At 37.2% G+C, this 25,649-nt stretch overlaps 1 annotated feature.

Annotated features, from left to right (window-relative positions):
• Positions 16,379 to 16,923: an enhancer, noted in NCBI's record as "H3K27ac-H3K4me1 hESC enhancer chr3:96513110-96513654 (GRCh37/hg19 assembly coordinates)". NCBI's record gives its function as "activates a minimal SCP1, AML or CMV promoter by ChIP-STARR-seq in primed H9 embryonic stem cells {active_cell/tissue: H9 hESC(primed)}" and the evidence as "EXISTENCE:reporter gene assay evidence [ECO:0000049][PMID:30033119]".

Below are 25,649 nucleotides of genomic sequence, written 5' to 3' on the forward strand. Positions count from 1 at the left end.
TATATAAATGTGTGAACTAGTTTCAACAGTGTTCCTTCATATTTGCTCTGCAAATACAAAACCAAACCTGTAGCCAGTGATCATTTCAAAATCATTTTATGTGCAGATACTGAGCCTTCGTAAGGGTTGACTACCTCAGATTTGCTGCACTCATTGTGGACTTCATGTGGATCACAACTTCTTGATAAGAAGGTTACAGTTATTAAGTGTCGATGTGAATCTTGAAACCAACTCTTCTGGATTCTTATCAGAGATCCTACATAAAAAATCAGCCATCTGGGCTCTGATGCGCTGTAAAAGATGAAGACTTAAGTGCCCTTGATTAACCTGTCCTGTCCCCTACCCTTATGGAATACTGTCTGTAGTAGGCTGTGGCTATATTAGACTTCCTGGAACACACCGCTGAAAAGAACTGATGTGTTCAGATCATCTGTGTAGGGCTGTGATTTGTAATTTAAACTTTTAGTTGTATTCTGAGGTAACCACAAAATAAATTCAACCATAAACTGGGGTCCACCAAGTGGGGGAAGGGGTGAGGGAGAGAATAATCTTGTTTTTTGTTGTTGTTGTTGTTAACTTTTTATTTGAATAGTGCTTTTTTGTTGTTTTTGGAACTCCTCTTTTTAAATCATCAGATCTCATGAGACTCAGTCACCATCATGAGAACAGCATGGGAAAGACTTGCCCCCATATGATTCAGTTACCTCCCACTGGGTCCCTCCCACAACATGTGGGAATTTAACATGAGATTTGGGTGGGGACACAGTCAAACCGTATCACTACTGAAATCTCATCTTGAATTGTAACTCCCACAATTCCCATGGGTCATGGGGGGAACCTGGTGGGAGGTGATTGAATCATGGGGGTGGGTCTTTCCTGTACTTTTCTCATGGTAGTGAGTAAGTCTCATGAGATCTGATGGTTTTTAAAACAGGAGTTTCCCTGCACAAGTTCTCTTCTTTGGTCTGCCACCATGTAAGAGGTGCCTTTCACATTCTGCCATGATTGTGAGGCCTCCCCAGCCACATGGAACTGTAAGTCCATTAAATCTCTTTATTCTGTAAATTGCCAAGTTGCAGGTACGTCTTTATCAGCAGCATGAAAATGGACTAATACAGTAAATTGGTACCAGCTGAATGGGATGCTACTGTAAATACCGAAAAATGTGGAAGTGATTTTGGAAGTAGGTAACAGTCAGGGGTTGGAACAGTTTGGAGGCCTCAAAGAAGACTGGAAAATATGGGAAAGTTTGGAACTTCCTAGAGACTTATTGAATAGCTTTGCCCAAAATGCTGATAGCGATATGGACAATAAAGTCCAGGCTGAGGTGGTGTCAGATGGAAATGAGAAATTTGTTGGGAACTGGAGCAAAGGTGACTCTTGATATGTTTTAGCAAAGAGACTGGCAGCATTTTGCCCCTGCACTAGACATTTGTGGAACTTTGAACTTCACAGAGATGATTGAAGGTATCTATCTGGCATAAGAAATTTCTAAGCAGCAGTACTCAAGAGGGGACATGGGTGCTGTTAAAGGCATTCAGTTTTATAAGGGAAGCAGAGCATAACAGTTCAGAACACTTGCAGCCTGAAATGTGATAGAAAAGAAAATCCCATTTTCTGAGGAGAAATTCAAGCCAGCTGCAGAAATTTGCATAACTAACGAGGAACTGAATGTTAATCCCCAAAACAATGGGGAAAATGTCTCCAGGGCATGTCAGAGGTCTTCATGGCAGCCCCTCCTATCCCAGGCCTGGAGGCATAGGGGAAAAAAGTGGCTGGGCCCATATCTCCATGCTCTGTGCAGTCTAGGAACTTGGTGCCTGTTTCCCAGCCGCTCCACCTGTGGCTGAAAGGGGCCAACATAGAGTTTGGGCTGTGACTTCAGAGCCTTGGCAGCTTCCACATGGTGTTGAGCCTGTGTGTGCACAGACATCAAGAATTGAGGTTTGGGAACCTCCACCTAGATTTCAGAGGATGTATGGAAACACCTGGATGTCCAGCCAGAAGTTTGCTGCAGGTTGGGGGAGCTCTCATGGAGAACCTCTGCTAGGACAGTGCAGAAGGGAAATGTGAGATTGGAGCCCCCCAACAGAGTCCCTACTGGGGCGCCCCCTAGTGGAGCTGTGAGAAGAGAGCCACTGTCCTCCAAACCCCAGAATTGTAGATCCACTGACAGCTTGCAGGGCGCACCTGAGTCGCAGACACTCAATGACAGCCGTTGAAAGCAGCCGGCTGCAAAGTCACAGAGCAGAGCAGCTCAAGACTGTGGGAACCCACCTCTTGCATCAACGTGACCTAAATGTGAGACATGGAGTCAAAGAAGATCATTCTGAAGCTTTAAGATTAGACTGTCCCACTGGATTTCAGACTTGCATGGGGCCTGTAGCCCATTTGTTTTGGCCAATTTCTCTCATTTGGAATGGTTGTTATTTACCCAATGCCTGTACCCACATTGTATCGTGGAAGTAACTAATTTGCTTTTGATTTTACAGGCTCATAGGTGGAAGGGACTTACTTTGTCTGAGATGAGACTTTGGACTGTGGACTTTTGACTTAAGGCTGAAATGAGTTAAGACTTTGGGGGACTGTTGGGAAGGCATGATTGGTTTTGAAATTTGAGGACATGACATTTGGAAGGGGCTATGGGCAAAAAGATTGGTTTGGCTGTGTCACCACCCAAATCTCATTTTTAATTTTAACTCCCGCAATTCCCATGTGTCTTGGGAAGAACCTGGTTAGAGGTGATTGAATCATGGGGGCAGGTCTTTCCTGTGCTGTTCTAGTGACAGTGAATAAGTCTCACAAAATCTGATGGTTTAAAACACAGGCATTTCCCTGCAAAATATCTCTTCTCTTGTCTGCCACCATATGAGATGCACCTTTCACCTTCCATCATGGTTGCAAAGCCTCCCCAGCCACATCGAACTGCAGGTCCATTAAATCTCTTTCTTCTGTAAATTGCCCAGTCTCAGGTGTATCTTTATCGGCAGCATGAAAACGGACTAATACAAGAACCAAGAACAAAAGCCATATGATCGGCTGGATGCAGTGGCTTATGCCTGTAATCCCAGCACTTTGGGAGGGCGAGGTGGGCAGATCATGAGTTCAGGAGTTTGAGACCAGCCTGCCCAACATGGCAAAACCCCCGCCTCTACTGATAATACAAAAATTAGCTGGGCATGGTGGCACGCACCTGTAATCCCAGCTACTCGGGAGGCTGAGGCAAGAGAGTTGCTTGAACCTGGGAGGCGGAGGTTGCAGTGAGCCGAGATCACACCACTGCACTCTGGCATGGGCAAGACTCTGTCTCAGAAACAAAACAAAACAAAACAACATTATTTTAAGAGATGCTGAAAAAGCATTTGATAAAAGTTAACATTGCCTTATGAGAAAAACCCTCAGCAAACTGAGCATAGAAGAAACATACCTCAACATCATAAAGACCATATAAGACAAACGCATAGCAAGCATTGTACTGAACAGGGAGAATTCCAAAGCTTTTCCTCTAAGATCTGAAATAAGACAAGGATGCCCCACTTCCACCACTTTTATTCAACATAACACTTAAAGTCCTGGCCAGAGCAATTAAGCAAGAGAAAGAAATAAAAGGCATCCAAATTGGAAAGGAAGAAGTCAGATTAGCCTCAATCACAGATATCATGATCTTTTGCTAAGAAAAACCTAGACTAACAAAAAAACTGTCCGAATTGATAAATGAATTCAGTATGCTGTAAAATACAAATTTAATGTATAAATATCAGTAGTATTTCTACACATGAACAGTGAATAATCTGAAAAAGAAGTCAAGATAAAAGTATTTTGTGACAAAGCTGTAGTAACCAAGATGACATGATACTGGTAAAAACAAAACAAAAAAGACAGATATACCAATGCCAGACATAAATCCACACATTTATAACCAACCCAACTCATTTCAACAAAGGTACAAATAACATACATTGGGAAAAGGACTGTCTCTTCCATAAAGAAAACCTGGATATCTATACACAGAATAGATATCCCTATCCATTTTATATAGTGGGAGATAGGAGATACCCCTATCTCCCACTATATAAAAAAATCAAATCAAAATTGATTAATGATTTAAATATAAGACCTGAACCTATGAAAGTCCTAGAAGAAAACACTGAGGAAATGCTTGACGACATTGGCCTGGGCAAATATATTTTGAATGATACCTCAAAAGCACAGACAATAAAAGCAAAACTAGAAAAACTGGATTATATCGAGCTAAAACGCTTCTGTAAAGCAAAAGACATGATCAACAAAGTGAGGAGATGACCTGCAGAATGAGCGAAAATATTTCAAAGTATTCATCCAACAAAGAATCAATAACCAGAACATGCAAGAAATTCAAACAACTCAGTAGCAAAACAAACAAACAAACAAAATTCACAAATGGGCAAAAGCCTTGAATAGGTATTTCTCAAAACAAGGCAATAGAGTTTTCCATGAAGACTTAATATAGTTGAACTCAAAATTCTTGATGATACATATAATTTCACCTTTAGAATTCAATAATGGTAGTTCTTTAGTACTATTTTAAAGAAAGTGATGAGCTGGAGGAATTTTCTTTGTGATCATATTTTTTCATTTGCAATAAATGTCCCTCGCTTACAAAATTTAAAATACTATATTAGGAGCTTATAATAAAAAAGCAATATATTTCACTGTTTCCTATGCTTGTCTTTTATCAGACATTTTAAACTGTTTCTCTTCTTGGTTCTTCTATTGTTTATTTCCACATCTCTGAAACATATGCTTATAATGCTATTTTTTATCATGAACTTATGCTTTTATCTATTTTCTCCTTGATCTGAAAGGTGGTGGTATATCTTCTTTCATTTAAACTATGCATTTCTTACCCTCTTCTCCCACTCATGTTTCATTTTCCATATTTTAAACATAATTAGATTAATATTTTATTTCCTTTGATGCATAATTCTCTATGATATACTTAAATAATATAGTAAGATTATTTTAATTCCATCAACTAGAAAATATATCTTGATCCTTGACATTTTCTTTCACATTTTATCTCTGCCTTTTCAACCTTACATTCTCTCTTATCTGTAATTTTACATTTTCAAGTATGACAAAATTTACATTCTACTTCAGTCACAATTAAGACTTCTATATTTGTATATAGTGTGTACATATATATATATGTTCTTTTTTTTTTTTTTTGAGATGGAGTCTCACTCTGTTGCCAAGGCTGGTGTGCGGTGGTGCAATCTCGGCTCACTGCAACCTCCGTCTCCTGGGCTCAAGCGATTCTCCTGCCTCAGCCTCCCAAGCAGCTGGGATTACAGTTGTGCACCACTGTGCCCAGCTAATTTTTGTATTTTCAGTAGACATGGGCTTCCAGCATGTTGGCCAGGCTAGTCTCAAACTCCTGACCTCAGGTGATCCGCCCACTTCGGCCTCCCAAAGTGCTGGGATTACAGGCGTGAGCCACCGTGTCTGGCTGTATATAGTACAATTTTAAAAGTGCAAAATAAAAAAAAACTGTATTTTCATGACATAAATGTAACCAATGTTAAATAAATTCTTCTCATGCAATGCAAACTCAATTTTTTCTTTCATCATCATATAATTTTTTTACATATATACATTTTTTATTTTTATATTACAGTTTTATTGAAATAAAACACATCATACAATGTATCCACTTATATTATGCAATTCAGTAGTTTTCCATATATACTCAGAGCTCTACAACCATTACCACAATCAGTTTTAAAACATTTTTATTAAAATTTTTTTATTGATATAAAATACCTGTACATATTTTGGGAGTACATGTGACATTTTGATGTATGTATATAATGTATAATGATCAAACCAGCATAACTGGGATACCCATTGCTTCAAACATTGATCTTTTCTTAGTGTTGGGAACATTAAAATTCTTCTAGTTATTTTGAAATATACAATAAATTACTGTTAACTATAATTTTCCTACTTTACCATTGGAATACTACAACTTACCCATTTTAACTATATTTTTGTACCCATTTACCAACTTCTTTTCAGCCCCTCTCCTCCCTTTCCTTCCCAGCCCCTGGTAATTCTACTGTCTACCTCCGTAAGTTCCACATTTCTAGCTTCCACACATTAGTGAGAATATGTGACATTTGTCTTTCTGTACCTGTCTTATTTCATTTAACATAATGACTTCCTGTTCCTTCCACATTGCTGGAAATGACAATAATTCATTCTTTTATGAAGGAATTATATTTTATTGTGTATCTATACCACATTTTAAAATCACTCATTCACTAATGGATACTTAGGTTGATTTTATATATTGACTACAGTGAATAGTGCTGCAATAAACATGTAGATATACTAATGCTAATTTCTTTTATTTTGGATATATACCCAGGAGTGGGATTGCTGGATCATATGGTAGTTCTATTTTTAGTTATTTTTTTTCCATATGGCTTTACTACTTTACATTTCCACCAATTGATTTGGGGTACAAGCATTCCCCTTTCTCTACATCCATGCCAACATTTGTTATTTTCAGTCTTTTGGATAATAACCATTTTAACTGTAATGAGATGATATCTCAATGTGGTTTTCATTTGCATTTCCTTGATGATTAATGATGTTGAACATTTTTTATATGCCTATTGGCCTTCTTGTTCAGCAACATACATGTATTCTCAATAAGGAAGGTCTTAGGAACCGCACAACCCAAGTTCTTTTCTTATGAAAAGTTAAGTTTACTAAGATCTACTTTATATGAATGTTCGCCATAAGATTATTGGTGAATAAAAATTAAGAACTTATACAAATGTTCTTCAAAAGGCAAAGGGTTAATTAAATGAGTTTATATCCGTGTCTTAGAATAATGTGAAATCATTAAAGATGCTATTTCCCAGTATCTCCTGACCTAAATATGTGCCCGTGTTATATTAAGAGAAAAAATACAGGCCATAAAATATACATTCTGAATTTTGAAATAAAATACAGGCAAGGCCAGACACGGTGGCTCAGGCCTGTAATCTCAGCACTTAGGGAGACCAAGGCAGGCGGAGCACTTGAGCCCAGGAATTCAAGACCAGCCCAGGCAACATGGTAAATAAAACCCCATCTCTACAAAAAAGCAAAAAGTAACCATGTGTGGTTGTTTATGCCTGTAGTTCTACTAATCGGGAGATTGACGTGGGAGGAACACCTGCGTTTGAAAAGTCAATGTGCAGAGAGTTGTGATCACATCATTACTCTCCAGCCCTCCAGTTTGGGAGACAGAGTGAGACCTCATCTCTAATAAGAAAATAAATAATGCATATATATATATAGAGAGAGAGAGAGAGAGAGAGATACACACATATTTATTTATGAGAATGTAATATATGAAATATTTATACTGAAAAAGCAACCCAGGGAGAGCCCATTGAGTCTCCAAAACAACCAGGTAACAGTGTATTTACTTTTATAGTAAGAAAATATGTTAGAATACTTGTATAAACTGTTGATTCCTTTGTTTAATTCTTTGTTGACTATGTGTATACCAACTCCACCCCTCATACATTACCCTATCTCTACTTACTTCTGTGGAAATTAATATGACATAAAAATAAAAATGAGCCTGGTTTTGGTTTTGTGTCTCAAACCTCATGGAGAAAATGTCCTCAGATCCTAGAGATTTATACCCATATATAATAAATAGTAGGAGTATAAAATGTTATATCTATTATTTTTCTTACTTTTCCAGAAAAAATAGTCTCTTAGAATGTGGCAAAAATAACATGGGGAAAACGATAAGCTTCTAAAAGCAAATAGGGTCCTGAAAAGAGCCCAGTTTTGTGGATAGCTCCCAAGGCTTAGTAATAGGGTTAAAGGATGGGAAGCATCAAGTCTCTCAGATGGTTTGAGTTGCAAGGGCAAAGGAAACCTGAATGCAGGGCCACTGCTACCACATGTCAACTTCGTGTGAATTAGAAAACTGCTTTCTCTAGGAATATGAAGGCAGCTATCTTAGGGTAAACACAATGCTTTTCTACAAAGTAAAAGGAACATCTTCCCCTGTGCCAGAAAGGCTTGGCAAGCAGACTGCTCAGGGTGAATTTCAGCATCCATCCACTCTCTTAACTGAGCACTTTTGGATAATGCAAAAGCTACGCAAAGCTATGCAGCTATCTCACCTGTAGTCTGACTGGAGACCTAGCCGAATTGAAAGGACCCAGCAGATGCAACAGATACATTTTCTTAGACATTCATAAAGTTTTTCATGTCCCAGAGTGGACTTGGAGTAGCCAAATGAGTTCCATGCAACTAGGAGTAATAGGGACATAGCTTAGAGAGTCATCATACCTTTATAAAGAATAAAGGATGGATTGGTTGCGATGCGAATGAATAGACAATTGAACACAAGATGAAATATGTCGCTGCTGAAGCTAGTGTTAACAGACAACATTGAGACCAGATCTCTCTGATCACAACACTGAGATTAAATATCCCTAACATCACCTCCACCATCACCAACAATAACAAAATCTTATTACAAGCAGAGCCATAACCCTGGAGAAGAGTGAGGACATTGTTGAAATTAAAAAGAAGATAATATTTCTGACAAAATAGAAACCTGAAATCAAAATTGAGTTTTAAAAAATATTATATGTCCTGCACCTAAGTTTGTGGAATGAAAGATATATATTTGCTGACTTTGAATAGCAAATATCATTGTCACCTTTAATAATAACCATGCCCTGACGAGAATTCTATAATCTCCTGGAAATCACTCTGCTTATTTTACATTTCTACCTCATAACAAAGGAATACCTGAAGTATGAAATATAGTTAAGCACAATATTTAAGACTATATGGTATAGCTTTGTAAGGATAAACAGCATAGCACTGGTATTAACCTGGACAAATTTTGAAAAAAAGAATACTGAGTGACGTGATAGATTTTAATTTTAGTCCAAAGCATTTTGAAATTTATTGACAATTTAACCTTCAAGACTTCACAATTTGCAGGACCATTCTGTTCAACTTTTGCTTGATTATCCAACGATCAATGTTTACTTTTCTCTATGAACATTAAAGAACTAACATTGACAGTAGTCACTTTCCTAACTCAGTGAGGTTTATTTTAATACCTTCTGCCTCATGCATCCCAATGCCTCCTAATGCAGTCTGTTGTTAATCCTCACCTCATCTGATCCTAATGTCACCATTCATGAATCATCATCGTTTTCTTCATCTCTGAGGCATCCAATCTTGTGGTACAGAATTTTTCAAGTGTATTATAAAGGCTCCATTTTTTTTAACCTCTATTAGAAGAACAGCTAATCACAATCATTATCTTTATAAGTTAAGCTTGCCCTACCCCAGCAATATTAATAAGAAATCACTGTTAGACCACACAACCTAAAGAATCAAGAGAAACTATTGTATTTTATGATTCTGAGGGGTTTATTTTTTACTAAACTTATCAAAGTCAAGCTCCTTTCCTAGAACTCAGAACAATGGTAAACCCAGAGTAAAAAAATCACCCAAGCTTCTAAAATTCCATTAATGCTTTCACAAGCTCTGTCTATATAACTAATTCTTTATAATATTAACTTTTCTATGTGTTAATATATTAGAGTTACTATATTAGAGCTAATATATAGAGAGTTAATATATTATTTATATCCCACTTTTAGAAATCAGGGCCAAATATAAAGGTAATTATACTAATTTTAGTTGTTATTAAAAGTCAAATTCTAAAATATTTGGCTTAAATAATGAAGACATATATTTCTGAAGCATTAAGAAACTTGCTGAAAAATCTTCCTGGTTATATATTCTATACGATTAATCTATAAGAGAGTTGTTTATTCCACTAATGAGCACAGAAAGTCAGCAGATGTCTAGAACCAATTTGGCAGCTGCTGAACTTTATATCCATAATCCAAGAAGCCATTAGTTGAAAATAACTTTTAGAAACTCAAATGTCACAATTCTGCCAATGCTTCATCCATAGGAAACCTAGAATTGGAAGATCATATTGCCGTACAATGTTTCTCCCTAAAAATCAGCTTAAAATATTGGTTAAGCACTACCTGAAATATTCACATAGAATCATCAGTATCATAGTTAAACATATTTAAATTTTGCCAACATTCTTAAACTTAATATATCAAATTTTAAATGTGTGTATCAGCTCTTTTAGAGACTGGAGCTGTGAGAGGCAGAGAATAAATATTGCAGATTACAGCTTTGTAGGCCTTATCATAATCAGGTTTTCTATGGAATCCACAGTTTATCAAGCTATGGCCAATTGATGCCATCGACCCTGAATTTTCTGCTTCTGATCCAAACTTAACCTGTAATTTGTTTTACTGCTTTGGAAGACTTTTTTGTTGTTTTAATACATAATATTTTACATATTTATGGGTTATGTGGTAGTATTTACAAGCATAGAATGTGTGATGATCAAGTTAGGGTATTTGTAGTATCCCTCACTATGAGTATTTATTATTTAAGTATGTTGGTTACATTTTAAGTCCTCTCTTTTACCTGCTTTGAAATATACAATATATTGTTACTAACTATAGCCACTCTAGCCTGCCATCAATTTTTAGAACTTATTTCTTCTCTCTAACTGTATGTTGTACTCATTAAACAATCTCTCTTCATCCCCCTCTTATCCACACCACCTTTCCAGCCTCTGGTATCTATCATTCTATTCTCCATCTCCATGAGATCAAGTACTTTATCTCCTACTAAAAGTGATAACATGCAGTATTTTATTTTTCTTGCCTTTTTGTGCCTGGCTTATTTAACTTAATATAATGACGTCCAGTTCCATCCACGTTGCTGCAAATGACATAATTTTATTCTTTTTTATGGCCAAATAGTATTCCATGGTGTATATATTCTACATTTTCTTTATTCATTCTTGCATTGATGGACATAATGGTTGATTTCATCATTGCCATTGTGAATAGTGCTGCTAATGATAAACCAATAATAAACATGGTAGTGCATTTATCCTTTGATATACTGATTTATTTTCCTTTGGGTAAATTCCAGTAGTGGGATTGCTGGATTGTATGATAATTCTATTTTACATTTTTGGGGAAATCTCCATAGTGTTTTACATAATGGTTGGACCAGTTTATATTCCCACCCATAGTATACAAGAGAGACATTTTTTCCACATCCTCATCAGTGTCTGTTATTTTTGTCTTTTTAATAATAGCCATTCTAACTGCAGTAAGATTATATTTCATCAAGATTTTGATTTGTTTCTCTGATGATTAGTAATATTGAGCATTTTTTCATATATCTGTTGCCCATTTATACAACTTTTTTGGAGAAATGTCTGTTTATATCCTTTGCCTACTTTTAAATGAGATTATTTGTTTTTTTACTGTTAAGTTTCACGTATTTTTTTATATTAGTACATTGTTGGAAGAATGGTATGCAAATGCTTTCTCCCATTTGACAGATTGTCTTCTCACTCTGTTGATTATTTCCTTTGCTAAGCAGAAGCTTTTTAGCTTAATGCAGGCCTTATATGTAGGTCTTATTCATGAAATCTTTGTCCAAACCAATATCCTGGATTGTTTTATTGTTTTTCCTATGTTTTCTTCTAGTAGTTTTATACTTACAGGTCTTATGTTTAAGTCTTTATCTTAGGTTGATGTTTATAAATGGTGAGAGATAGGGGTCAAATTTCATTCTTCTGCATGTGGAAATATAATTTTTCCAGCACTATTTATTTAAAACTGTGTCATTTCCGCAGTGCATTTTTTTTTTTTGGTGTCTTTGCAAAAATCAGTTTGGTATAAATACATGAATTTATTTCTATTTTTTTTCCATTTGTCTATATATCTATTTTTATGTTAATATCATGCTGTTGGCCGGGCACAATGGCTCACGCCTGTAATCCCAGCACTTTGGGAGGCAAAGCAGGCGGATCACGAGGTCAGGAGTTCGAGACCAGGCTGGCCAATGTGGTAAAACCTCATCTCTACTAAAAGTACAATAATTAGCCGGGAGTGGTGGCAGGCAACTGTAATTCCAGCTACTTAGGAGGCTGAGATAGGAGAATCACTTGAACCCGGGAGACGGAGGTTGCAGTGAGCTGAGATTGTGCCATTGCATTCCAGCCTGGGTGACAAGAGCGAGACTCTGTCTCGAAAAAAAAAAATCTATCTATCTATATCTATCTATCTCTATGGATATCTATCTAGATATCCATAGAGATAGATAGATATAGATAGATAGATATAGATAGATAGATATACCATGCTGTTTTGGTTGCTATAGCCATTTAACATATTTTGGAGTCAGATAGTGTGGTATTTCCAGTTTAGTTTTATTTGCTCAAAATTGCTTTGGCTATTTGGGCTCATTTTGGTTCCATTTACATTTGGGGATTGATTTTTCTCATTCCATGAAAAATGACATGGTATTTTGATAGGGGTTGCATTGAATCTGAAAATTGGTTTGAGCAGTATGGTCATTTTAACAATATTAATTCTTTTGATTCATGTGCATGAGATGTCTTTCCCACGCTCATGGATCAAAAAAATGAATGTCAAAATGGGATGTCTTTCCGTTTGTTTCAGTCCTCTTCAATTTCTTCCATTAGTATTTGTAGTTTTCTTTGCAGAAATCTTTTATGTCCATGGTTAAATTTATTCCTAGGCATTTTTTTTTGGTGGCTATTGTAAATGTGATTACCTTCTTGATTTCTTTCTCAACCAGTTCATTGTTGGTGTATAAAAATGCTACTGAATTTATCAGATCTAACTTTTTTTTTTTTGGTGGAGTCCTTAGGTGAGTCTAAAAGAATATTATATAATCAGCAAAGAGTGACCATTTGACTTCCTGTTTTCCAATTTGGATGCCTTTTATTTCTTTCTCTTGCCTGACTGCTCTGGCTAGGACTCCTAGTACTATGATATATCATGTTTATTGATTTACATATGTTGAACGGTACTTGTATCCCTGGGATTAATCCCACTTAATCATGCTGTATGTTTTTTAAATATGCTGTTGGATTTGGTTTGCTATTATTTTGTTGAGAATTTTTGTGAATTTTTTTGTCTAGGTTTATCAGAGATATTGGTATGCCGTTTTCTTTGTGTGTTGTATCCTTGTCTGGTTTTGATATTAGTCTAATGCTGGGCTCACAGAATGTCTGAGGAAACTCTCTCTTCTATTTTTTTTAGAATAATTTGAGGAAAACTGATGTTAGTTATTCTTTGAAAGTTTGGTAGTATTTGGCAGTAAAGTCATCCAGTCCCCTTTTCTCTGTCAGGAATTTTTTTTTAATTTCTTTGATCTCATTATTTGTTCTTGGTCTTTTCAGGCTTTCTATTTCTTCCTGATTCAATCTAGGTAGTTGTATAGAAATAGAAAAATGTTCAGAAATTTATCTGTTTCTTCTAGGTTTTCCAATTAGTTGATGCGTACTTACTCACAATAGTCTTTAGTGATCTTTTTTTAATTCTGTGGTACCAGTTATAATGTCAAACCTAGAAGTTGATGCATAGTTTAGTTACTCACAATAGTCTTTAGTGATCTTTTTTTAATTCTGTGGTACCAGTTATAATGTCTTATTTCTTGTCTTTGATTTTATTTATTTGATTCTTTTCTATTTTTTTCTTAGTCTAGCTCAAAGATTGTCAGTTTTGTTTGTTTTCTCAAAAACACAACTTTTTATCTTTTTGATCTCTTGTATTTTTTCAGTCTCAATTTCATTTAGTTCTACACTGATCTTTAGCATTTACTTCCTTCTGTTAATTTTTGGTTTGGTTTTTTCTTGCTATTCTAGTCCCTTAATGTATTGTTAGATTTTGTCCATCATGTTTTTTTTTTTTTTTTTTTAGACACCGTGTCACCCAGGCTGGAGTGCAGTGGTACGATCTTGGCTCACTGCAACCTCTGCCTCCTGGGTTCAAGCGATTCTTGTGCCTCCGCCACCCTAGTAGCTGGGATTACAGGCACACAGCACCATGCCTGGCTAATTTTTGTAATTTTAGTAGAGACATGGTTTCACCATGTTGGCCAGGCTGGTCTCAAACTCCTGGCCTCATGTGATCTGCCCACCCCAGCTGGCCTCCCAAAGTGCTGGGATTTACAGGCATGAGCCACTGCTCCCAGGGGTATGTTATGTTTTGATTTTCATTTGTTTCAAGAACTTTTGTGATTTCCTTCTTAATATCTTCCTTGACCCAAAGGTCACTTAGAAGCATGTTTAATTTTCATGTATTTCTACAGTTTCTAAAGTGTCTCTTATTATTTATTTCTAGTTTTATTTCACCATGGCCCAAGAAGATACTTGATATAATTTTGATTTTTTAAAATTTTTTGAGATTTATGTGTCCTGACATATAGTCTATCCTGGAGAATGTTCCATGTGCCAATGAAAAAATTGTGTATTCTGTAGCTATTGGATGAAATGTTATATAAATGCCTGTTTGGTCCATTTGATCTAAATATATAAATCCAATGTTTCTTTTTTAATTTTCGGTCTCAATGATATATCTAATGCTGAGATTGGAGTGTTGAAGTCCCCAGCTATTATTGTATGGAATCCTATTTCTCCCTTTAAATCTAATAACATTTTCTTTATATATCTGAGTACTCTGGTGTTGGATGCATATATGTTTAGGATTGTTAAATCCTCTTGTTGAATTGATCCCTTTATCATCACATAATGATCTTGTCTTTTTTTTTTTACTGTTTTTGATAGAAGTTGTATATTTTTTTCTGATATAAATATAGCTGCTTCTGCTCCCTTTGGGGTTTTGTTTTGTTTTGTTTTTTGTTTGTTTGTATTTTTGGACTATCTTGTTCCATTCCTCTACTTTCAGTCTATGTGTGTCTTTACAGGTGAGATGAGATTCTTATAGGCATTCTATAGTTGGTCCATTTTTCTCATACATTATTCAGTCAGCATATATCTTTCAAGTGCAAAATTTAACCCATTTACATTAACGGTTACTATTGATATGTGAAGATTTATTCCTGTCATTTTATTAAATTATTTTTTATTGGTTTGCATGTCCTCTGTTCCTTCATTTCTCTCTTATTGTTTATCATTGTTGTTTGGTGGTTTTCTGTCATGGTAACACTTGCATCTTTACACTTTCTTGCTTGTGTGTTTTCTCTAGCAGTGGTTTTTATATTTTCCTTTGTTTTAATGGTACTAAATATCATTCTTTCACTTTCAGGTATGGCACTCCCTTAAGTATGGCTGATCAGAATGATGACTTCCCTTGGCTATTGCTTGTCTAGGAAATACTTTATTTGTCTTTCATTTATGAATGATAATTTTGCTGGATATAGTACCCTTGGTTAATAGGGTTTTGTTTATATTTTATCGCTTCGAATGTGTCATTCCATTCTCTCCTGGCCTGTAAGGTTTCTGCTGAAAAGTCTGTTGTTAGTGTGATGAGGGATCCTTTATAGGTGACTAGATGCTTTTCTCTTGATGTTTTACATAATTTCTTTTTGTGTCTAACTTTTGGCAGTTTAAGTATAATGTACTATAGGGAGCCCTTTTTGTATTGAATCTGTTTGGGGATCACTGAGGCTCTTGTATATGGATTTCTAAATCTCTTACTAGACATGGAAAGTTTTAACTTATCATTTTGTTCAATAGGTTTTCCAAATCTTTCATTTTCTCTTTGCCTCCTGGGATACTGAAAATTTGAATGTTTGGTCACTTTATGGTATCCAATATGTCATTTAGACTTTGGTCATTTTTTTTTCATTTTTCTCTATTTTTGTCTGACTAAGTTATTTCAAAAGAACTGTCTTCAAGTACGGAGATTCTTCTGCTTGATCCAGTCTATTGTTGAAGCTTTCAAATGTGTTTTGCATTTCATTTAAATTATTAATTTCCTGAAGTGTGTTTGGTTCTTTGTTGTGATAGCTGTTTGGCAAATTTCTCATTCATATGCTGAATTGTTTTTCTGATTTCTTTGTATTGTTGTTCAGTATTCTCTTGTATTTTGCTGAGTTTATTTAAAATTAGCATTTTGAATTCTTTTTCTGGGATTTTACAAATTTGTTTTTGATTGAGATCTGTTGCTAGAGAATTAATGCATTCCTTTGTAGGTGTCATATATTTTCTTGCTTTTTGATGTTTCCCTTATACTTATGTTGATATCTGCACATCTGCTGTAATAATCACTTCTATTTTTTTTGAGTTTGCTTTCATAAGAAAGGATTTTCTCCTGAAGATGTATCTATGTTACTGGTTGGGTAGGGCACTTTGGCTTTGAAACTGAGTGCATGTAGGGGGGCAATGTCTGTGTGATTTCTTTGGCTATAAACAGTGTCCGTGGTGTCTGTGATTTCCTAGGTGGCTTAGGGTTTGGTTATTAATGGATGCTGTGGTGAAGTGTTCCTGGGTACTGGGATGCTGGATGACTCAGTTTTAAGGCTCCAGTGATGGTGGAAGTGGGTTGAGAGTGTGGCTATTCTTGGGCTCCAGCATGGTATACACTTGCACTAGTGTTAGCAGGTCCAGGCAGGCTGATTCTTGGGCCTCTACATAGCTTGCTTGAATGCCAGTAGTGGCAAAGTTGGGCTTAGCAAGTAGATAGGTTCTCCATCCCCTGTACAGCCAACATGGTATAGGCAATGGCAATAGCATTAGCAGGACAACCCTCTGTGTCCTGAGAAGTGTGTGCTGGTATTGGTAGTGGCTGTGATGGACTGGATGGGCCAGTTTCCAGACTCACAGGTGGCATGTGCAAGTAGGTGCCAGTCATGGTGGTGGTGGCAGGGTGGGTAGGCCCAACCTCAGGCCTCTGGGAGAAGTGCTCAGGTGTCAACAGTGGTAGACTGCACTGGCCAATCCCCAGTTCACCAAACTGTATGCTCTGGCACAACAGCAGTGAGGGACAAAGCTGGGATGGTAGGCTTGTCCTCAGGCCCCCCTAAGATAGGCAGGTGCCAGCCACGGTAGGCAGGGGCCAAGCAATCAATCCACAGGCCTGCAGTGGAATGTTTGGGTAAGGGCTGTAGTAGCCTTGCTACAACCCTGCCATGGGGGAGGGTAGGCCTATCATCAGTGGTGGCTGCATAGGCCAGCAGGTGGGGAGCGCTTGCCATACTTGTGCCTCAGCACAGCAAGGGTAGCCTGTGCCTTGCTAAGACTCATGTCTTAGTCCTGGCACAGCTGGACCCCATGACAGTGAGCATCTGTTTGGGGCTGGGCTCTAAAATGGTGCCTTGCTGTAGCTGCTTAGGTCTTAGGGAATGTGTTGGACCACACACAAGCTCTTTCCTTCGAGCAGTGCCATCACACGGTTTCCTAGTAACTCCCTATGTTAGTTTCAGGGCCCCTGAGGGTTGATGGGCTCTCCTATGGCTAGGATTATGGGAGTCTATAGAGGGAATGAGGACTGCTGGGGATCTCTCCCTTACCCTTTGTCTGCACTTGGGAGTTGCTCCCAGCTCCCATCCAAAAAGGCTGCCTCACTTCCCTGTCCTTCCTTGCCTCAGAAGTTCCCTGTCACTTTTCTCTTAAATTCCAGTGTTCTCTCTTGGATGATATGTTCAAGATGCACTTATCTATTCATTACTTTTGTTCTTCTTAGTGGAGGAGGTAAAGAACAGATGCGTCTAGTCAGCCATGTTGAAGCCCATCCCTTTGAATAATTCTTAGGAAAGGTTTAAACAATTTTCTGAGAAAAAAATCTTGCTTCAAGAATCCTTTTGATCCAACCTGATAAAGAATAAGACAAGCCTCCACTTGAGAGATAACATATGTCAGAATTGTAAATTGCCATGGAAGATGTTACCTCTACCATCTAATTTTAAATCATAGCAATAGTCAACAATGTAAAACATGGGACTACAGTTACTACTGTCAATTATAATATTGAATCTACTGAAAACTGAAAACTGGTACTTGTCATAAACTCAAATGAGATATTTATCATTGGGAAAATGCTCTTTAAGGGTCTTTTTTTTTCTTTTTTTTTGCATTTTGTTAGAATTTTTGTACATATACTTAAGGCAACACAAAGCTGCTTACCTGACTGTATTAGAGTTATACAGCCATATCTTTTCTAAATTACAAAGTAACTATATGTCTTTGTTATCATTTAAGTAACTATATCAGAAATATCCATTTGAAGATGTATTCTGTACTTTTTTTTTTTTTTTAACCTTGATCTCACTCTGTCATCCAGGCTTTGAGTGCAGTGATGTGATCACAACTGCTAGCTACAGCCTCGACCTCCTGGACTAACGTGATCCTTCGACCTCCGCCTCCTGTATAACTAAGACTACAGGCACATGTCATTATGCCTGGCTAATTTTTCAACTGCTTGTAGAGACAGGGTCTCGCTATGTTGACCAGGCTTGTCTATAACTTCTTGTCTCAAGCCATCCTCCCACCTTGGCCTCCCAAAGTGCTGACATTACAGAACTGAGCCACCATGCCAGCTATGCCTCTTCATTCTGAAAAAGTTAATGAGGGCCTATTGAGTAGTCCACACACTGTGGAGGTGCTAGGAATAAAAAAATGAAAAAGACAAGGTCAGTTACCCCTATACAGCTTCAATATATGCTATAAATATACATATACATTTTAAAATATATAAATATATATTCTGGTATATTCATAATTGTGGAATGTCTGTCCCTGATACTATGGAAGTACAAAGAAGGTTTACTTTTAATACCATAACTGAATACAGTTTCAATTATGTTACCCAATATTCCTTATATGTACATGGGAATTACGTTTATTTCTCCTAGGAGTCATTGAATAGAAATTTATTTCATAGAGAAACTTTATGCTTTCTTTTACTGTATTATGAGAACGATGTAGCCTAAAGTAATTTATCTTTTTATTCTGATGTTAGTTCATTGGGGTAGCTCATAATAAGTGCTTGATACATTGTTATATCATCTCCAAATTAGTTTGTGGTGTTTACCTTGTAACTGCCTTGTTTTCCACATGTTTTTGAAATTGTGTAATTTTAAAGTAGCAAGAGCTAGAAAAATTAATCTATTTTAATCCTCTAAAGTTTTAGAGGAATTAATTTAGGGCTCAAGATTGTAAGTGATCTGACCAAGATATAGTTACTTACAGAATTTAGATTTGAAATCAGGTCATCTGACTCTCAATACTGTGCTTTACTTACCCCACCTTACTAAAAGATGAAATGGAAAGAGTGACAAATCAGAAAAACAAATGAAGAAATGGAGGCAAAAAGGAAACAAAAAGAAGGGGAAATAAACAAGGTAGAAAATTAGGAAGGGTTCCAAATTTTACTTTTCCAAAACTTAGATATAAATTTTTAAGGAATGCAATGGTAAAATCCTCACCTTAAAGTGAAAATACTATTCTCTTGGCAATTGGGGAAGTAAATAAACATAACCCCAAATGCATATAAAATGTTAAAATGCAACAGAACATGTATCTTTCTTCAGGATATTGGCAATAATTTTGTTTTAAGTTGTAAACATGAACAAGTCTGTTCGTTCAGACACTTGGAAAATAATGAAAATAATTGTTGCCTCTTTTGTTATGTTTCCTGTATTAGTCCGTTCTCATGCTGTTATAAAGCACTGCCTAAGATTGGGTAATTTATAAATGAAAGAGGTTTAATTAGCTTATAGTGCTGCATGGCTGGAGAGGCCTCAGGAAACTTACAATCACGGCAGAAGGCACCTCTTCACGGGGATGCAGGAGAGAGAATGAGTGCAAACAGGAGAAATGCCAGATGCTTATAAAACCATCAGACCTCATGAGACTCACTCATTACCACAAGAACAGCATGTGAGAAACTGCCCACCTGATCCAGTTATCTCCACCTGGTCCCACCCTTGACACATGGGGATCATGGGGATTCCAATTCAAGGTGAGATTTGGGTGGGGACACAGAACCAAACCATATCATTTCCTAAAACAGACTGATGTTTTAAGATGTAAATGCTAACCTTACAGCTGAGGCCTATACACTAGTAGCCCTGTTAACATCTAGCTCAGGATGGGTTCTTAATTTATGAGGAGAAAAATTTATTAATAAATATAATTTTAATTTCTCCCTAAAATATGTATAAACTTGTAAACATATTATTGTATTTTTGTGCCTATGATTTGTAAAGTTAGGGAAGCAGCATCATTGGCTTAAAATTAACTAATGTTAAACCTGCTACATATGTCATATTTGTTTGACCAACATAGACTGTCTCAATGTTATATCTGTCAGTGTTTGGAGGAAAAATTCTATGTGTTGGATACCAAACTATGCTCATTGAGAATTGTTGCAGTTTTCTAATGCTGAACAGCAAACCATTAAGAAATTAGAAACTTGAAACAGCAGTTTATTATTCTTTCAAATTATTGAAACAACAGTTTGTTTTTACCTATGGTTCTATGGGTTGAGTGGGCTCTATTGGCTAATTTGTTCTAGGGCCTCTCATGTGGCTGAGGCTGGAATCAGATCAACTGACTGATCAACTAATATGGCTCACTCACATGGCTGTTGGTTGATGCTGTTAGTTCAGAGCTCACCTGGAGCTGTCAACCAGCATACCTACAATGGCCTCCCCATGTGGCTTGACCTTCTTGTAGCATGGTGACCATGTCCCAACAGGCAGAATCCTAATCATTCCAAGAGACCCAGGAAGAACTTGAAAGACTTCTTATGACCTTAGGTTTTGATGTCCTGGAATATCCTTTCCACAGAATTCTGATAGTCCGAACAAGTGCTAATGCCAGTCTAGATTCAAGGGGATGAGGAATTAAACTCCACTTTGTGATATGAGGAAAAGCATGTGTATTCCAGGAAGAAGAAATTAATGGCATATCTCAGTAGATACTATGTTCTGAAAGGTCTACCCAAATTCTCACAAAGATAAAAACTAATCCCACAACTGCATGGATATGGGCTAAGGGGGAAACATCAATCCAAAACATTCTTAAATAAGTAGTTTTGGGTCTGTTGAAGTTTGCAAATAAAATTGTAACTTAGATTAATCACCACTAATAAGTTTCTTTCTATCGAATGCAGTAACGATGCATTTACCCTTTATATTTTGAAAATGAATTGTTACAATCTGTTTACTTTCACTTTAAAGAACCTTAATATTGTTTTTATTTATAGAAGTGAAAAAATCAATCTATTACGTTTTTTTTAAATTTCCAACTTTTATGTTAAGTTCAAGGGTACATGTGTAGGATGTGCAGGTTTGTTACACAGGTAAACGTGTGCCACGGTGGTTTGCTGCACAGATCATCCCATCTCCCAGGTATTAAGCCCAGCATCCAGTAGCTATTCTTCCTGACGATCTCCCTCCTTCCACCCTCCAACAGGCCCCAGTGTGTGTTGTTTTCCCCCATGTGTCTGTGTGCTCTCATCATTCACCTCCCACTTATAAATGAGAAAATGTGGTATTTGCTTTTCTGTTCCTGCATTCATTTCCTAAGGATAATGGCCTCCAGCTCCATCCATGTCCCTGCAAAGGACCTGATGTGGCTCTGTTTTATGGCTGCCTAGTATTCTGTGTATATGTACCATATTTTCTTTATCCAGTCTGCCACTGATGGGCATTTAGGTTGATTCCAAGTTTTTACTATTGTAAACAGTGCTGTAATTAACATATGTATGCAGGTGTATTTATAGTACAATTATTTATATTCCTTTAGTCATATATTCAGTAATGGGATTGCTGGGTCTAATGGTATTTCTGTTTATAGGTTTTTGAGGACTTGCCACACTATCTTCCACAATGGTTGAACTAATTTTCACTCTCACCAGCAGTGTCTAAGCATTCTCTTTTCTCTACAACCTCATCAGCATCTGTTATTTTTTGACTTTTTAGCAATAGCCATTCTGAATGATGTGAGATGTTATCTCATTGTGGTTTTAATTTGCATACATCTAATAATCAGTGATGTAGTGCTTTTTATCATATCTTTGTTGACTGCATGCATGTTTTCTTTTGAGAAGTGTCTATTCATGTCCTTTGCCCACTTTTTAATGGGGTTGTTTGTTTGTTTTTTTATACATTTGTTTAAGTTCCTTATGAATGCTGGATATTAGACCTTTGTGAGATGAAGAGATTGCAAAATTTTTCTCCTGTTCTGTAGGTTGTCTGTTTACTCTTGTTGATTGCTTCTTTTGCTTTGCAGAAGCTCTTTAGTTTAATTAGATCCCATTTGTCCATTTTTGCTTTTGTTGCAATTCCTATTGATGTCTTCATCATGAAATCTTTGCCCATGCCTATGTCCTGAATGGTATTGCCTAGGTTTTCTTCTAGGGCTTTCATAGTTTTGGGTTTTCATTTAAGTATTTAATCCATATTGAGTTGATTTTTGTTTATGGTATAAGAAAGTGGTGCAGTTTCAATGTTCTGCATATGGATAGCCAGTTATTCCAGCACCATTTATTAAACAGGGAATTCTTTCCTTTGCTGGAGAGATGTCACGATCATTTGGAGGAAAAGAGGCACCCTGGCTTTTTGAATTTTCAGCATTTTTGCACTCATTCATTCTCATCTTTGTGGGCTTATCTACCTTCAATATTTAAGGTTGCTCCTATTTGGATGGGTTTCTTGTGGGTTTTGTTGTTGTTTTCTGATTGTGTGTTTTTCTTTTAATAGTCTGGCCTTTTTTTTGTAGGGCTGCTGCATTTTGCTGGGAGTTCACTCCAGACCCTAGTTGCCTTGGTTTTTCCCATACATGGAGGTATCACCAGTGAAGTCTGCAAAACTGCAAAGATGGCAGCCTTGTCCGACCTCTGGAAGCTCCATTCTAGGTGGGTACTGACCTGTTGCTGGCCTGAATGCACCTGCAGGAGGTGGTTGGAGACACCAGTTTGCAGCTCTCACCCATTCAGGAAGAATGGAACCAGGGACCTGCTTTAAGAAGCACTGTGGCTGCTTTCTGGTAGAGCAGCTGTGCTGCTTGGAGATCCCTTCAGCCCTTTATCGGTTCGGGCTCTCCAAGGCTCACAGATTGAACTGGCTGAGGCACCTAAACAGCCAAGAAGGCAGCCTGTCCCGCGTCCTGGGCACTCCATTCCAGGGAGAAATTAGAACTCTGCTGTCTGTAGAACGGGGGCAGGAGTGGCTGGAGGCCTAGGCTGGGAGGTCCTGCCCAGTGAGGAAGAATGGATCGGGGTCCCACTTAAAGAAGCAGTCTAGTCACATTCTGGCAAAGCAGCTGTGCTGTGCTGGGGAACCCCTTCCTCGTCCCAACCATTTGGACTCTCCAGATTCCAAGGAAGTGGGTCTTATCTTTTGAGGTGTCATCGGAGTGAGACCCACAGACTGATGCTGCTCAGCTCTCTGGATTCGGTCCCCTACCTGTGGGTATGCACAGCCCTCCTGCCTTGCCTAAGCTGCAGACACCCTTGCTGGGGATCCCGGGACGGAGTAAGTAAAACTCCTGGGTCTCTGTGCCTGCCTTAGCAGCTGCTCTGCCAAGATTCCACACAGCTCTGTGTGTTTCACCCAAGGCTCTAGGGAGTGGACCCATGAGGGGACTTCCCGATCTGCAGGTTGCAAAGATCCATGGGAGAAGCATGGTTTCCCCGAGTTGCACACTCACTCACTGCTTCCCTTAGCTGGGAGTGGGGTTTCCCTTGGCTCCATGTTGCTCCCAGGAGGGCCATCATCCCACCCTGCTTTTCTGCATTCTCTGTGGGTCGAGTTGTTTCCTTGATCAGTCCCAGCGCGAGTACCTGGATATTTCAGTTGAAGGTGGTGTATTCACTCACCCCTTTCATTCCTCTCTGTGAGTGCCTCAGACAGTAGCTGTTTCTAATCGGCCATCTTGGCCCAATTCCCATTATGATTTTCTTTGTCATATTTTTCTCAACTACCTTATTACTTTAACCATTGACCAATTACTTTCAATTAAAACAGGATTATCAAGATAATTATTAGTTAACATAAAATTTTCATAAAATAAACATGTTTTAAGCATTTATTCTACACATATAGATGCTAAAAACATAGATGAATATCCCTTTCTGCATATATGGTTTTTATTCACCATATTCTGATAAGTTTATTTCAGTGCTTTCTCTTGTAGAAAGCTAAAAATAACATGAAAAATAGTTGTGTTGTTTTATTTCAGAGAATTTTTGTTCCATTAGTATTTTAAGAACAACTCCATCACATTTCATACAGCTCCCCAGCACGCAGCAATACCCTCAGTTATATCAATACTTCCTTTGCCTAGTTATCTTGAAGATCTGCTGTTCATATTAATGTTTTTATCTTTCAAACACTGATAGAAAATCACAATAACTTATGGCTCACATTATTTCAGTCCAAAGGTCTTATCAGTTACTATTAAGAATAGTGAAAATCTCTCTATGTGAAAAATTTTTTTAAATAAGCAATCCTATTAAAGTTCCTTTTCAAGCATATTTTCAACATGCTTACTATGTCCCATACCTACAAATATTCTCTTATTCATCCTAATATCTTTCCTCTTGCTAAATATCAACAAATTTATCTACCCTTAAAATGCAAATTAGCACTGCAATTACAATTTGTTCATAGGATTATTAAGTTAATATTTTATCTTATTATTTTGTTGGTATAATATTAATAGAGTTTTTGTTTTTTAACTATTAAATGCAAAGCATTCCCACAATGCTAGACAGCTCACTTCAGCAGTTAGAAAGTTTCATTTGTCAAACCAGTTGACTGACTCTCCAGAAAGTGATAACTTTTAGATTGCTTTGTATATGCTTCTAATGCTTCTATTGTTGTCAAGTTATCACCTGATGAATACTGTTCCAGTTCTTCAGGATAAGGTCAGACCTGTGAACCTGTAATTTGAACAGCAGTGCATAGGTCAAATAGCCTCAGTTGAAGTGACAGGAGCTTATTGTTTTGTATTGCTGGGATTCCTTAGCCCATAGTTCATTCCATAATTCCTAAATCAACTCTAGTATAAAGTGATATCTTCAATACATGTGAACCAGTTATCACATAGAATGAGTTACTTTTGTCCTAAAAAGAATTACCTTTCTTGAAAGGAGATGGGCAAGGCAAAAATTTCAACAGAAAATCAGCAGGATGGTAACAGAAATCTTATTTTTAAAAAAGAAATTATAACAACTTGAGATAAAAATGGTTGGCAAATCTGGTGCTCAATTTCAATACCAGACTTACTATAGATTTTCTTTTGTCTGGGATTTAGATTCAATGGAAAATTCCTGTTTTCTCTCCTTGCTAGTAATAAAGCATAAAAGTGTGCAATTTAACAGCAGTACCAGAGTCAGGCCATTTGCTAGATAGGAATGTGGATGGATTTCTGGAAGACGAATGCATAGACCAGAACAAACTAAGCCACACATTACTGGTGTCTTAAACATATGACTTAAGGAATATCATCTAAACAAAAAATCTATTTTGATTTCCTCCTACCCCTTTAGGAATCAAATCTTCCCCAGCACTAAGTATAAATTTGTACATATCCTGCCGGGCACAATGGCTCACACCTGTAATCCCAGCACTTTGGGAGCCTGAGCAGGGCAGATCATGAGGTCAGGAGTTTGAGACCAGCCTGAGCCAACATGGTGAAACCCTGTCTCTACTAAAAGAAAAAAAAAATTAGCCGGGCGTGGTGGTGCACTCATAATCCCAGCTACTCAGGAGGCTAAGGCAGAAGAATCACT

The sequence above is a fragment of the Homo sapiens genome, chromosome 3 (assembly GCF_000001405.40).
Source record: "Homo sapiens chromosome 3, GRCh38.p14 Primary Assembly".
Taxonomy (NCBI): Eukaryota; Metazoa; Chordata; class Mammalia; order Primates; family Hominidae; genus Homo; species Homo sapiens.